We start from the raw sequence: 13,826 nt of genomic DNA, 5'->3' as shown, positions 1-13,826 counted from the left end.
TCTGTCTCTTGTCATTCTTATTTATTTTGTAACCTCCCAGAAGGCTGAGATCTACATCTAAATATCTTTATACAGGGTAATATCAAGCCCAGATAATGCTTCATGATGTTGAAAAATATCAATGACTGTTATTTTCTTAGTAATGGGAATTACAAGGTTTTATCTAAGAGGACAGAAACAGAGCTGGTGTAGATTATAGCACTTAGCACAGTATGACACTAAAGACAGAAATAAAAGTGTTTGAAAAGATAAAACCATCATAGTGAAAACAGTCCTAAAATATAGGGGCAAGAGGCTTGGTTCTAGCCTCAGCTCTGTGGTGGAGCAGCTAAGAGACCCTGGGCAAACTGCAATCTCTGTGAGCCTCAGTTTCCCTCTCTGTAAAAAGGGGGATGCCAACTTCCTGCCAACCATAAATGCCTGTAATAGGGATTTAAAAGGTTAGGAGGATTTGAAAACTCTATTTTGTTATAAGAATGTCGGCTTGTTATTTTGACTAACACAAATGACACAGTATGGTTAAAGGATTAACATATGTATCAAACATGTTAGGACTAATTTTCTAACAACTGTTACTAGACTGATGCATTCTCAAAATATAGTAGACATAATTTCCACATTCTTTGAGGGATTCGGAATATTGATCACCACCCTGCTGTTGCCTGTGCTTATCTTTATGGCCATCCATCAACAGCGATCTATACAAGTATAAAACCACAACTTAATATGAGATTTTTCAAAACTGACTAGGTAGGCTGAGGAATGAAATGGACTTGCTGTTCTTGCCTAGGGAAGAGGGAAAAGGTTACAGAAAGGAAAGCTGAGAGAATGCCAGGTCATTTTCAAGGGCCTCTCATGGAAAGGAACACCTAGACATGTCTGCTTCCAAATCTGTCTCCAGCCCTGGACTCACAGTTTTGTCCTTGGTGGTCATTTCCTTGGCTGCAGCATCCAGGGCAGCTCTGGTCCTGGCATTGATCCGTCCTGGGGCAATCACCACTATCTTGCGCTGCTTGGCAGGCAGCTGGGAAAGGACGTCGGACTTGAGGCGCCGCAGCATGACTGCTTCCTCCAGCAGGAGCTTCAGCTCTCCCAGGTTGGAGGAACCTGAGTAGTCCCACCCCCAAGGCATCTGCAGAGAACAAGACAGCGACAGCCCCATGAGGCTCCTTTCAGGCCCAGTCCAACAGGGACTTGGGATCCCGGGAGGTCCCTCTTCTCACAACCACCCCTGGCTTAGCTCAGAAAACTTCAAGTGACTTACAGGGACAAATAAACCCCCAATAAAACAAATGAGAAATGGAAAGGAAAAGAGAGAAAAAAGTCAGGAATGAGATGAATAAAAAACACCTATCATGGCATTCTACAATTTGGCAGTGAGCTTTCTTTTCCAGCAGCAAATGCCAGAAGTCAAGCAATTGGGTGTCCATTTTATTAAAAAACAAACAAAAAACTTGGCTTGTCAGACTATTCCTGTACACTAAATACTAAATCTTCCCTATGGCTTATCCTACAGAGTCTGTTGCACAATGTAATAAAATAATGTCAGTAACATCTTTATTTGATGAGACTTACAGGGATTTTAAAAACTGTTGTTCTGCAGTATGGATTACACCAGCACAAACAAGTACAATATAATAAAAGTAACTGCAGTGTTGTTGTAGATGGCAGCTGGGGTTGGCAGGAGGAGCCCACCACATAGGCTTCTGGCAGTCTGGCTAAGGGCCTAGGCAGTCCTTCATAAACATGGCTCCCTCGTTGAGGAGCTCACGGGAGGCAGTGATCTCAAATGTTCATTCCCCATCACACAGCTAGAGAAGCCATTACTGGCCAGACGCAGTGGCTCACGCCTGTAATCCCAGCACTTTGGGAGGCGGAGGCAGGAGGATCACTTGAGGTCAGGAGTTAGAGACCAGTTGAGGTCAGGAGTTTTGCCAGCATGACAAAACCCTATCTCTACTAAACATACAAAAATTAGCCGGCGTGGTAGCATGCACCTGTAATCCCAGCTACTAGGGAGGCTGAGGCAGGACAATTGCTTGAACCTGGGAGGCAGAGGTTGCAGTGAGCCGAGATGGTGTCACTGCACTCCAACCTGGGCAACAGAGCAAGACTCTGTCTCAAAAAAAAAAAGAAGCCATTACCATTAAAAACCCTATCCCTCACCAACAATCTTACTGGAAATGGAACTGATTTCTACAGTCTAGTAGAAAATCAGGGAGCCAGTGTGCCTGCTACTTTGTCTTTTAAGGAGCTCATCTCCCCTCCTGGCTGATGAGCTAGCTACCTGAGGGTAGGGGCTAGGTTTTCCCATTATAGAGGGCTAGAGAGCCTAGCATAATAGTGGAGACAGAATAGGTGTCTCATAAACCTTTGCTAAATTGAGAGAAGGAAGAGATGGTCAAAGGTGGAGGAATAAAATGTTGTAAAGCTGTTTCTTCTTTTTAAAAAATACTCTGAAATCAACTGGAAGTTCTCAGCAAATGCCTTCAGATAGTTAGTGGTTTGCAAATGAGCTCAGCATGAGGTTCTCTTTTCAGTGGTTTCTTAATGCATGAAGCTGGCAAAAAGAAAAAGAAAAAGAAAAAGAAAAAAAAAAGGCAGCCCTGGCTTATGGATTGTATTAAATAAAAACCATGCTGAGAACAAGTGGATATCATAATTAATTTGGATATTGCTATGGCTTAAATGTGTCCCCCAAATTTCACACATTAGAAAAGTAATCCCCAAATTCATTATGTTGATTGAAGGTGGGGCCTTTGGGAGGTAGATAAGGTCATCATGGTGGGTCCCCCATGTTGGGACTGGTAGCTTTATAAGAAAAGGACCAGAGACCTGAGCTGACACATATGCTCTTGCCCTCTTCTCCATATGATGCCTTCTGCCATGTTATGAAGAGCAAGAAGGCCCTCACTAGATGCCAGTGCCATGCTCTTGAACTTCCCAGTCTCCAGAACCATGAGCTAAATAAACCTCTATTCTTTGTAAGTTACTTAGTCTGTGGTATTTAGTTACAGCAACAGAAAACAGACTAAGACAGATAGCATGCTCCTATGTTCTAATATTGTTAGCTCTTAACCTTGTAGGTTAAAACTTAGTAACACCAAAATACCAAGTAATTTGTTACTTTTTTCTTTTTTTTTTTTGAGACAGAGTCTTACTCTGTCGCCCAGGCTGGAGTGCAGTGGCATGACCTTGGCTCACTACAACCTCTGCCTCCTGGGTTGAAGCGATTCTCGTGCCTCAGCCTGCAGAGTAGCTGGGACTACATGTGTGTACCGCTGCATGCGGCAAAAATTTTAAACTTGACCTTGGGATAGTCACAATCCAACAAGCTTTAATTGAAAAATTACCACATATCAGGCACTGGGTTAGGTGGAAAGAAAGATGTGAAGATGAGGAAGGCATTCTTTGTTGTATTGGGGAGGTGTATCAAGAAGGCAGGAAAAGGAGAATTCAAAGATAATGCCTTAGTTTCTGGCAGGAGAAACTACTGAGATGCTGGCCTAAGATGGGGAACATAGGAAGGGACAGTTTGGGGAAGAAAGGCAATCAATTTTATCTTTAGCCCCTTTCATCACTAGCTGAACATTATTATGCCATGGGCCCATATAGTCAAGAAAGAGAAGATCCTTTTTAGAAAGTGGACTGTTTGCGAATAGGACAGAAATCCAAATCATACATGAAGAGTTTTGAGGGACCATGAAAACTATATAGCATCAGTCTAATCTGGATTGATCTACAGGGAAAATGAACTAAATATATGATTAAAGAAGTGTACGGCTTTTAAATACATTTAATAATTGGGAAATTTCCTGCCTCAATAACCAGCTAAAAATGGTTTGCAATTAACTATGCTAAGGACTACAATTTCCATTATAAGTACTTCGTTTGAATGTAAGTGGATATTTTTAAAGTACTTGAAAACTTTTTTTCTTCTTTTAAAAATTTAAAAAATAAGGCAGACACTCTTATTTATATCATGTACTTGCACAGCAAGGCTTTTCCCTCATAGATGGCTTGTAGGGTAAGTTGCAGCTATTTCTCCAAAGTGCCAGTACCTTTGTGACTTGATCACAAAACAAGAATCCCTAAGGTCTGAATTAATGTGGTTTTAAAAACAAGGGTTCCATGGCAATGCATTGGTGTTTACAGGGCTTCCCTGCCATTTTGGGAGAGCATTTCTGGAGTGCCGACTGTAGGTCCTGAGGTGCCTGCGCCATTGGCACTGCACTCACAGAGCCCACCCAAGGCAGTTTGGGATCAGGCTCCTCAATCTACCTTTATCTTTTTTTTTCTTTTTTTTTTGCACAGGGAGGAATTTCCCACCTTTACTTCATATTCCTCCCATGCCAGGAGGAAGCCCTTACCCCCTCACCTACTTCTTCCCTCTGCCTGGGGCCTCAGCCTCACTCCTAGCTCACCTCAGTGCCAGCATCTTCTCTAGGGCCAGCACTTGACAAGGACTTTCCTTTTATAGCTCCAGCACTGTGCCTCATGCAGAGCTGTGACCCTGGGCAAGAGGGAAGCCGGCTCTCAGAGCTCCACATACCTACACATCAGCCACTAGTCCCCTTACTGGAAAACGATGACTTCGGATAACCATAACCATTAAAACTAGATTTAAAGGGTAAGATGACCATTTTCATCTTACCCCTGAGGTCATTCCAAGGCCATAGTAAGAAACAGAAAGACTAAAATCCATTCCCCTGGCCAGTGCTCTTCTGACCATATCATGGCCAGAGAGAAGGAAGAGAAAGATAAGTGTCAAAATCAGGGTGAGAAATGGGTGGGCTGGGAGGGAAGAGATAATACATACCCGTTTGGCATCACAGTAGCGAAGTCCAAAGGCATGAAACTGGGGGAAGAAAGTTGGCTTGACTGCGATGATCTGCGTGTAGAGCTCTGCGGGCCGGGACATGGCTGGTGTGCCCGACAACAGGATCACCCTCTTGGCAACCTAAAAGACAAACAGCCAAAGGTGCTCTGAACACAGGGAGGAGCACACAGGAAATGTTCAAAATGCCCCAGTGAGGGAGGAGCTGGATGCCCCCAGAAAAAGACCGCGTGCGTGTCGCGAGAACCTAATGGCATTGCCAATGCAAGCAGTTAGATGGCATCTCCTTTTCTTTAAATCCTCCCTGCCTGCCCTCTGCTGAGCTCTATCCTAGTACTTAACATATTACATTGAATTATAACTTTTCTGTCTCCCTTGTTAGACTGCAAGCCTCTTGAGATCAAGGACTGGGCTGTATTCACCTTTATTTTCTGTAGCATATGCCTGACGCCAAGTAACCAATAAATGTTCACCGTATGCTGCAAAAAATTCACAAGGAAGCTAATTAGTATCCTGGAGAACACAGAGTAAACTCAAAGAATCCAGCATTGGACAGGAAGTGGGAGAAGACAGTGGCAGGTCTGAACTTCCTCCAGAGTGGATCTGTGACATGCAAGTTGAACTCAGATAATGACAATTACAATCAGCCCTCTCCCATTCCCAAGAGGAAGTGTCAGGGGTTGCCAATGTATATGTCTCCATGTGACTTTCTTTAAAGGAAAATAAGGCCTTTACTAACTCAGCTTCACAATGCTTCAAGCCTACAGATCCTGACTCAGGCTCATTTTGCAGTTATTAACAATAAGAACCTTAATAGGTGATACCTGGTTCCATTTTCCCTAAACTCAGCCCAGATGTGCAGCAGCCTGCTTAGCATGGGCAAGATGGGAAAAAATAGTTGGTCAACAGCAATGACAGATTCCAAGTTCCTCACTACCCAGACACCAACCTGACCCATGGGCATCAGACCCAAAGATCCCACCTCCTATTATTAAGATGGGAAAGAGGGTGAGAAAAAAAAAAAGAGACTCTTCCTACTGTATTAGAACACAGAATCACTACAAATTACTGGACGTAAAATTCACTTCAGCTCTGGGAACGGACCCTACCATGGAGCTCAGTTGTCTAGAAACAGCTTGTTAACCACTGTAACCTTGAGTTAATGACAGTAATACAAGGCAATTGCATGTAATAAATCACCTAGGAGAATAAATTAGGTTTACAGATGGATACACTGCCTCATAAAAATAAATAAATAAAGGTGCAACAGTGAAAAGAAAAATCATTCTTTATAAATATACAATATACACAATTATCTAAACGCATTTGTGCCCTCACAGCAATCGCCAATATCTAATTCCATTATGATGGGAGAGCTATGAATGTCTCCAGCTATAATTTTCCACAGTTCAATTACCTAGGCCTTCTAACTTCCTGCACGGTTTAATGCAGACTCATTAAAATAACAATGAGCTGACGTTGGTAGCATCGCTTGCCTTGGCTTTAAGATCATTTCAATGAAAAAGGGGAAAATGAAAAGTTTTATCAAAAAGAGAAAATCTCCCCATCACCCCAAACCTATTCTTCATGTCACTGTGCTGGCCTGGGGATGGAGCCAGGGCAAAAACAGTTCATGAATCAGATGATGGAAATTAACTCCAGGGTCTTCTGTCAGATACTTATAGGATGTAGTTAGTATTAAATCGCTTCTCCCATACACTCCCTAGACTAGAGAGTGATGGGAGCGTTGCCAATGGGTGTTTGTGGGCATCAAAAAGGCAGAGGCAGCATTACAAAAAAAGAAAAAGTCCAGCTTTGAAAAAGAAACCAGAATGGCATCTCGTCTGTAATGGGGTGATTTGGCCTGCTCCCAGCTCAGCCCCAACATGTGTGTATGTCATCACGATCACCCACAAGGGCTTTTAACACATGCCCAGCTGCAAAGGTGTCATATGTCACCCTCCACTTCTGAAAACTTCCAAATCTAGGAAAACAGAAATCTATAAAACTACATAAATCAACACCAAATTGAACAGTTTACAGTGAACTCCCCCACCTAAGGGAGAAAAGCAACACCCAAGAAATCGAAGATAGAACAATGTAAAAAAATACTTTCTGTGTGGTGTTAGAAAGATAACATGATTCACATGTGCAGACACTGTTGGGATCAGATGACCCTCAAAGATAGGCTTAGTTTCTTCGTGGGTTGGGGGTGGGAAAACCCTGCAGAATAGGCTGAGTTCGTGTATACATAATTCGCCACAGAGAATTCAATGTCGTAATTGAAAGTGGATAATCTATACATAGTTTTAAAATTAAGAGTTGACCGGGCATGATGGCTCACGCCTGCAATCTCAGCATTTTGGGAGGCTGAGGCAGGCGGATCACCTGAGGTCAGGAGTTCGAGACCAACCTGGCCAACATGGTGAAACCCTGCCTCTACTAAAAATACAAAATTAGCCAGGTGCAGTGCTGCACACCTGTAATCCCACTACTCAGGAGGCTGACGCAGGGAATCACTTGAACAGGGGAGGCAGAGGTTGCAGTGAGCTGAGATCATGATCATACCATTGCACTCCAGCCTGGGTGACAAGAGTGAAACTCTGTCTCAAAAAAATAAAATTAAATAAAAAATAAAATTAAGAGCCAAGAGAATGTTCTACTGTAGAAAAAAGAGCTGAAGTCTTAAGTTTATATAAGAAGCAGTCCAGAAATTCTTCATCACTTTATGTGATCTCTTTTTTTTTTCCAATTGAGCCAGTAACTTGCTTTACTGAATTATTCTGATGGGCTGTAACATATTTTGCCAAAACCCTAGACTAGGAAAAAAATCATGTTCTCCAAAGCTCAGTCCAGTCTTATACCCAGAATTATTCCTAATGGTACTCTAAATAAATTTATACAATACCATATATTCAATTTAGAAATAAGACATGAAGAAGGCAGGTAATATCAAAGAGAAGGTCAAGTCCACACCGCTGGAAAGTCTCCATACTCAGTAACCCTGATGTGGCAGGGACATTGAAGCTGTGTTTTAATTAGTTCAGAGGTCATGATACAATCTTCAGAAATAAGGATAGTGGCAAGCATAGCTTGAGGACAAGTGACCAAAAGTACACAGATCAAGAATAAATGTGGGATCACAGTCACTATACAAGGAGCTACAAAAGAGACACCTGTAGTTAAATCGAAAGCCTAAGGGCAAAAAGAAAAGCTTGACATTCAGAAGAAAGCCAGTGCTTGGAGTCGGGGAGGGAGACCACGGGTGTATTCTTTACTCTGCTCCTGAGTGGTGCCCCCCAAAACAAACCAGGACAAACCAAGAAAGCAGCATAATTATGGCCACTGCTGACCAGAGGCTGCCCTAAGTATTGGCAGAAGGCCACCTACCACTCAGTGATACTTTATACATGGCCTCTGAATCTCTGGTTAGGTCAGCTTATTTCACATAAATGGTTCCCTCTAGGTTCTAGCCTATGTTCCAAAAAAAACAAAGTTCCAGTCACAAATCTGAATAGTACTAACCTTAACTAAACTGATTTGCTATGATAACCATAATGCCTTCAAGCTAAGTGAGCATTGCTGCTGTAACATAAATGAAATTATCATGCCACATATAAGGCAGTTCTTGGGTAAGAACAGACAGAATGAAGACAGTGACTGCATGTATATTGGACCAAAAATACCAAAATATTATAATGAGAATATATCAAATGGTATAATTATAGCTGATTAAAGCTATGCCATTCCAAGCTTTTTTTTTTTTTTTTTTTTGAGACAGAGTGTCACTCTGTCACCCAGGTTGGAGTGCAGTGACATGATCTCGGCTCACTGCAACCTCCACCTCCCAGGTTTAAGTGACCCTCCTCCCTCAGTCTCCCATATAGCTGGGATTATAGGCGCAGACCACCAATCCCAGTTAATTTTGTAGAGGTGGGTTTCACCATGTTGGCCAGCCAGTCTGCAACTCTTGACCTCAAGTGATCTGCCCACCTCAGCTTCCCAAAGTGGTAGGATTACAGACATGAGCCACTGCGCCCGGCCTAAGGTAGATTTTTTTACTCTGGAAAAGACAATCCATTTTACTATAGGTTTCAAACTCTAATAATTTCCTTTTTAAGTCTGATTATGTAATGAAAGTGAGGAAATAAATGAGAATGGCCGGACCTCAGGGGACTTCTATAGCCTCATCACACTAGGGAAGAAAACAGAATCTGCCAGCTGACACTGCTCTCCCCTCTGGCCTGATAGGCAAAAAGCCATCTCAGACACACAGGGATTGCATTTTCTACTCCCCACTTCTCTAACATATGAAAAAATGGTCATTGCAGTGTTGCATGTAATAGCTGCAATTTGGTTACAAATCCATCAAAAGAGAACAGATAATACATATTATGATAAATTTATCCAATAGAATGCTATTTGCAAGAATGCGGTAGAAGTCATTTGGAACAACATGGAATGATTTTCAAGATACATTATTAAGGGGATAAAGGCAAGTGTAAAACAATGGTTGTAAAACACTCTAAGGAGGCAGAAAGGAAACACACACACTCGTACTTCCATAGGTGCAGGTTATTTTATGGAAGTAAACCTGAAAACTGGTAACTATAGCTGCCTTTGAGGAAAGAGACTGGGGACTAGGGAACCTAGAGGGGTTGAAAGACTTATTTTTCACTGTCCATCCTTTTGTATTGTTTGAATTTTTTTTTTTTTTTTTTTTTGAGACAGAGTCTAGCTGTGTTGCTCAGGCTGGAGTGCAGTGGTGCGATCTCCGCTCAGGGCAACCTCCGCCTCTCAGGTTCAAGTGATTCTCCCACCTCAGCCTCCCAAGTAGCTGGGATTACAGGTGTGTGCCACCATGCCTGGCTAATTTTTGTATTTTTAGTAGAGATGGGGTTTCGCCATTTTGGCCAGGCTGGTCTCAAACTCCTGACCTCGGGTGATCCTCCTGCTTCAGGCCTCCCAAAGTGTTAGGATTACAGGCATGAGCCACTGCGCCCGGCCCCATTTGAATTTATCATCTATTTAAACTACTTTAATAACAAAGGAAAAAGAAAAAAACCTTATACCTTTTAGCCACTATCTCATCCAGCCAATCAACAGAGATATAAAAAGTACTCTCTACTTACAGAAAAAGAGAAACAGCTGCTTCTTAGGAAAGAATGGTAGGACTCTAGGGGCCTTTCCCTTTGAAAAATTTTTAATTTTGTTATTACACTAGTTTAACAATAAAAGCCAGTGTAGACAAAAGACAACTAAACTAAACCAAAAAACCCCAAACACACACCTCACTGTTTAAAAGAGTGCCAGTAATCCTGAGGGCGGAGTCATGTGGGAAAAAAAAGCCTCTGATTGAAGACTGAATGGGAGTGAAGATTGTTATGCCTGGCCAGACTGGACTTCAGAGGCCTCCCCTAAAAAGGTCAAATGAAAACTGACCTGGCAATTCTGATTGTAGGAATTTGTCCTAATAGGATAAATATGCAAGGTACATATAGATGATGTTCACTTGCAGAATTATTTATAATAGCAAAAATGGAAAACAACCGCATGTCTGATACTGAGGATTAAATTATGGGATGTGTCTCCACTATGTAAATGCTCCATAGTTATTGAAAAATGATGATCTTGCTCAATAATTGACATGCTGGAAAAATAAGCTGTTAACAGTGGCTTTTTCTGTTGGAGGGATTAAAGGTAATTTTAACTTTGTTCTTTTTAGCTTCTATCTGGTCTACTTTCATATATTTATATATAAAAATAGATTTACCTCATTTAGGATTAGTAGCCCCAGCCAATAGTGCTGTGGGGGAAGAAAAATGTCACGTTTCCCAGGGGACAGTGACACCAATTTCTTACAATCTAACACACCTTCTCTCTGCTGACTGCTATTGCTATTTACAAAATCCACATTTTTCTGGACACGATCTGGCCCTGCTATCCAACGAACTGTATGATTTAATCTAAATACCTCATTATGCCTATTTGCTGAAAATATGCTTGTAATATTAATTATCAGAATATAGTTCTAAGAGATGTTCATATTAGAGGAACAATCAAGTGGTATTAAATTAGGTCCTTATATGGCTTTTCAAAGACATACTTTACTTTTTCCCAACTATCTTATTATTCCAAAAACATTTAGATTCATTTCCTTATTTAGATTGGTGGTTCTCCATGGGGTTGGAGAAGGGCAAGGTGAGTAGAGAGTGATTTGTCCTCCCTCAGAGGACATTCGGTGGCATCTGGAGACAATTTTGGTTGTCATGACTGGGGAGGAACTGCTGGCATCTAGTGGGTAGAGGCCACGGATGCTGCTAAACATCCTAAAATGCACACAACAGCCCCCCAACAACAGAGTCATCCAGCCCAAAATGTCAACAGTACCATGGTTGAGAGACTCCAATCTAGACGAAAATACAATAAGACAGAGATGAAAGGTTCGGTTAACAGAATAGCACAGAATGCTCCATCCCACTCCTTCAGCCCAATCCTGCCACAGTCCAGCATTATATGAAGTCAACGTTGCGGAAGAGCGTGGCCCCAAGACACCTTCATAAACACAGGCCATGTTCATGAGGCTTATTTTAAAATATTAATTCATCCAAGTTCTACAGCAAATGCAGAGTAGTACATATTAGTTAGCAGTTTAGAGATTTCTTTTAAACATGTCACTTTGAAACACACTCAAGATATTAAAGAGGTATATGCTGCTTCCAAAGGTCTGGCTGAGAGGCACACATTTCAGAAACCACTATCTGGCTCAGCTTGCCCAGCCAGGCAATGACTACATTAACAAGTGGTTGCTAGAAGCTTTCACATTGTATCTTTAATGATAGAATCTATCTATTGTGCATTTTCTTTTGTCTAAACAATCAGGAGTAAAGATTTAATTTAGTTATGGCTGAAATACTGAAACCAAAATACCTAACCCTATTGTTTTCCTATGGAAAGCATATTAAGGCCTCCCAAAAGAAGGGTCATCAACCTAGGAAAAACATTTTATTTAAATGTGTCCATCAATGGCTATTGACATATAAATATTTATAGGTAATACTGGCAGAGAATCAAGCTTTTTTTTTTTTTTTCTTTTTTTGAGACAGAGTCTCACTCTGTCACCCAGGCTGGAGTGCAGTGGCACAATCTCGGCTCACTGCAATCTCTGCCTCCCAGGTTCAAGCGATTCTCCTGCCTCAGCTTGGTGTGCACCACCATGCCTGGCTCATTTTTGTATTTTTAGTACAGACGGGATTTCGTCATGTTGCTCAGACTGGTCTCAAACTCCTGGTCTCAAGTGACCCACATGCCTCGGCCTCCCAAAGTGCTGGGATTACAGGCGTGAGCCACCACCCCAGCAAAACCAAGCTTTTGCAGTAAAAGACTTTTATTCTTTGGTTTGGCACATGACATGACCCTGCCTTGGAAGATGTATCATATTCCGTTATTCCTAAACACATGAAAACTTGAAATGAGTGGACACTTACGTGTGTTTTGTGAGGAAATGTTAAGATTAATGTTCAAATGCTAAGCTTCATTAACATTCAGCGTATTTGTTTTCCCTAGTTTAGGTAAAAGTTAAAGCTTCTTTTAATCAATAAAAGCCATAGTTTTAAAATGCTGGTACAACACAAAGGTTGCTTTGAGCACAAGAAAAACACACACTTTGGTTTGCTCAGTCTACACAAACCAAAGTGGATACCTCCAAAGTAATCTGTGAGAAACTTCTAACTTGTTACAAGAGAAAAGGCTACTTTTCTAATTGTACTTCTCCTTCCCTCTTACAATAATAGGAAAAAAATCATCCCCCCCCCCCATAATGGAAGGAAATTTGGAGGACTACCCTCTGTTGGGATGGGGGACTAAGAAACCAAACACAGAAGAGAGAGACAGATGAAATACAGAGCCTATATTGCACATCAGAACATGCTTAAAGACTAGAATCTGCATCACATACCCACGCCTGCTTGCTGTGAAGCCAGAACTCACACCCGCCAAAGCACTCAGAAATGAGTTTAGGCCACCACAGGGAGGAAGGGGGATGGCTGCCCCTTCTGTCAACCAAAGAGGCTCAGGGTAGCCACAGAAAACAGTATCAGCTTTTAAGGCCCATCTTAGCTTTGCCAGTGTATCTCGCTGACCCCGCCAGCCCTTGCTCAGTTCTGTTTGTATTAGGTTGATGCAAAAGTAATTGCGTTTTTTTGCCATTACTTTCATTAATACAACTCGTCTTCCCTGATTTCCAGCATCTAGGCAGCTTTGCCACTACAAGTGACTTAGAAGACAGGCAGTTTTTTCTAAGCTAATTAGTGGACAAGCTGCTAGAGGCTCTCTCTTATCTAAGTAGGAAGCCAGAGGAGGATTCTGGAGTCCAATGCCCACCCAGCCTCAACAGTCTTGACCTTCGAGAGACAAAGGCAGCACTACTGACTACTAGTACTGCCTACTAGTTCCTTAGCAGGATGTTAGGAAGAAAGATGAAATTGGTACCACAGCCCTAAGGAGAGAGACAGATGCCCTAAGTCAATGCCAAGTCATGACCATGGCCCACAGGTCTATACTTGCAACCCCTGCTGGACTAGGACGACATGCAAGCCTGAGCAAAATATTATGGGATGCCAATGCTCAGTGGGCTCAGTTCTCAGAAGTACTCACCTTTAGGACCGGCATAGCTGCTCGACAGCGGGCAGTCCTACTGTTTTTGAGGAAGTGAGATTCATCCTGAAAAGAAGTAGCCACATAAGTGTACAAGATCCAATCCTGAGTGGACAGAAATATGGGTCACTTTAGGCTTGACCCTGGCATGGCAAGTGCAAGGTGGATGCTCCCTTAGCACTTTCTCATTCAAGGAGATGGCTCACTGGGCCTAGGTCAGGACCCAGGGGTCTGGTGGCAGCTTCTCTACTGCATTCTGAGCAAGTTGCTTCAGCTCTCTGGGGACAATTTTCCATCTATAAAGTGGGATTCATGAATCCCTGCTCCGCCCACC

At 42.2% G+C, this 13,826-nt stretch overlaps 1 protein-coding gene across 2 annotated transcripts in view; it reads right to left on the bottom strand.

Annotated features, from left to right (window-relative positions):
* Positions 1 to 13,826, bottom strand: part of SMARCAL1 (SNF2 related chromatin remodeling annealing helicase 1) — a 70,570-nt gene that overhangs the window by 31,076 nt on the left and 25,668 nt on the right. For both annotated transcript variants that reach the window (NM_014140.4, NM_001127207.2), the window contains exons 10-12: positions 13,493 to 13,558; positions 4,820 to 4,960; positions 914 to 1,132 (exon numbers count right to left, since the gene is read on the bottom strand). In NM_014140.4, coding sequence (NP_054859.2) covers positions 914 to 1,132; positions 4,820 to 4,960; positions 13,493 to 13,558 — 426 coding nt within the window. The remainder of the gene's footprint in view (positions 1 to 913; positions 1,133 to 4,819; positions 4,961 to 13,492; positions 13,559 to 13,826) is intronic.

This window comes from Homo sapiens, chromosome 2, assembly GCF_000001405.40.
Source record: "Homo sapiens chromosome 2, GRCh38.p14 Primary Assembly".
Lineage (NCBI taxonomy): Eukaryota > Metazoa > Chordata > Mammalia > Primates > Hominidae > Homo > Homo sapiens.
This window is presented reverse-complemented; position numbering and strand designations above follow the sequence as displayed.